The sequence below is a fragment of the Homo sapiens genome, chromosome 6, assembly GCF_000001405.40.
Source record: "Homo sapiens chromosome 6, GRCh38.p14 Primary Assembly".
NCBI lineage: Eukaryota > Metazoa > Chordata > Mammalia > Primates > Hominidae > Homo > Homo sapiens.
Window position 1 is genome coordinate 131,328,343 of NC_000006.12, and position 1,710 is coordinate 131,330,052.

The 1,710-nt window shown below is 36.9% G+C and overlaps 1 annotated feature.

The window, feature by feature from the left end:
* Positions 238–1,024: an enhancer, noted in NCBI's record as "OCT4-NANOG-H3K27ac hESC enhancer chr6:131649720-131650506 (GRCh37/hg19 assembly coordinates)". NCBI's record gives its function as "activates a minimal SCP1, AML or CMV promoter by ChIP-STARR-seq in naive and primed H9 embryonic stem cells {active_cell/tissue: H9 hESC(naive and primed)}" and the evidence as "EXISTENCE:reporter gene assay evidence [ECO:0000049][PMID:30033119]".

Here is a 1,710-nt window from a genome sequence, read left to right on the forward strand (position 1 = left end):
TCAGATATCCTGAGTCGTCCCAATTCTTAGACATTTTATACCTGTTTTTCTCCTTCTGTTATTCCATTAAGTTTTTCAATTCATACAAAACCATATCAAGGCCATCACCAATCATTGTATACGACAAATATTTCTTCTAACATCCCCACAATATCACCCCTTACCACAAGACCTCCCTTCAGCTTAATCTCTCCCACTCTAGGTTCCCACGCCGCCCCGTAATCCCGCTTGAAGCAGCCCTGAGAAACATCGCCCATTCTCTCTACATACCACCCCCCAAAAATTTTCACTGCCCCAACACTTCAACACTATTTTATTTTTCTTATTAATATAAGAAGTCAGGAATGTCAGGCCTCTGAGCCCAAGCCAAGCCATCGCATCCCCTGTGACTTGCACGTATAAGCCCAGATGGCCTGAAGTAACTGAAGAATCACAAAAGAAGTGAATATGCCCTGCCCCACCTTAACTGATGACATTCCACCACAAAAGAAGTGTAAATGGCCGGTCCTTGCCTTAAGTGATGACATTACCTTGTGAAAGTCCTTTTCCTGGCTCATCCTGGCTCAGAAAGCACCCCCACTGAGCACTTGCAACTCCCACTCCTGCCCACCAGAGAACAAACCGCCTTTGACTATAATTTTCCTTTACCTACCCAAATCCTATAAAACGGCCCCACCCCTATCTCCCTTTGCTGACTCTCTTTTTGGACTCAGCCCGCCTGCACCCAGGTGAAATAAACAGCCATGTTGCTCACACAAAGCCTGTTTGGTGGTCTCTTCACACAGAAGCGCATGAAAATAGGATATTGAGTTTGGTTCCAATACTTTTTCCTTTTAAGAAAAAAATGATGTATATTCAATATTTTGTGGCTAAACATTTGCATTTGTTTAATTATAACACTACAAGTGGAATTTCTGGGTCAAAACTATTCGCATTTTAAAAACTTTAGGTCGACCTTGCTTGGGTATCATCCAGAAAGTTTGTATCAGTTTATACTTCAGCTGAATATAAGGATGTCCACTTTCATTCATCAGATTTCTTTTATTTTCTGATTATTCCCATTATGAGTGACTCACACGGGTAATAAAAAAGGAGGAATTAATGAAAAAGTATAGTTAAAATTTTGAGAAAAGATAACATATTTGGAGATAATTTATTGCATTACATGTGAAGGGGAGATTATATGATTTGAAAGTAAACTGCATAGGGCTGACAATATTTAAACTGTTAGGAAATCTAACTAAGGTGCCCGGATGGCTGTTTAATTCTGCTTTGTGTAAAGATGGGGCAATGGATTATTTCGGACAGGACAACATTTCCTTTCTCCCTCTCTTCCTTCTTTTCCAGAAAACTTACCTGGGGTTCCCCAAAACATAAATGAGTAGTTAAATGCTTATGTCATAAAGCATGACAACATTAATTTCAGTGTGGAAAATATTCACCTATTGTCTTGCACAAATAACCCAGAGATTATCCAATTTTAACTAATATAACTTTCTTTATATAAATATATTTTTCTAATAAAAGTTAAAACTTATTTTCTAAAGTTACAAAAGAAAAAAAGCTCAGTGAATTGAAAAATATTTTAGCAAATACATGTTTTGAAAAAGATATAACATGGTAATTTCCTTTATTTTATCCATATACAACTTAATTCTATTTACAAGGCATTAAGATGTAAATTCCTTAAACTTGTGATTTCTTAAAGTT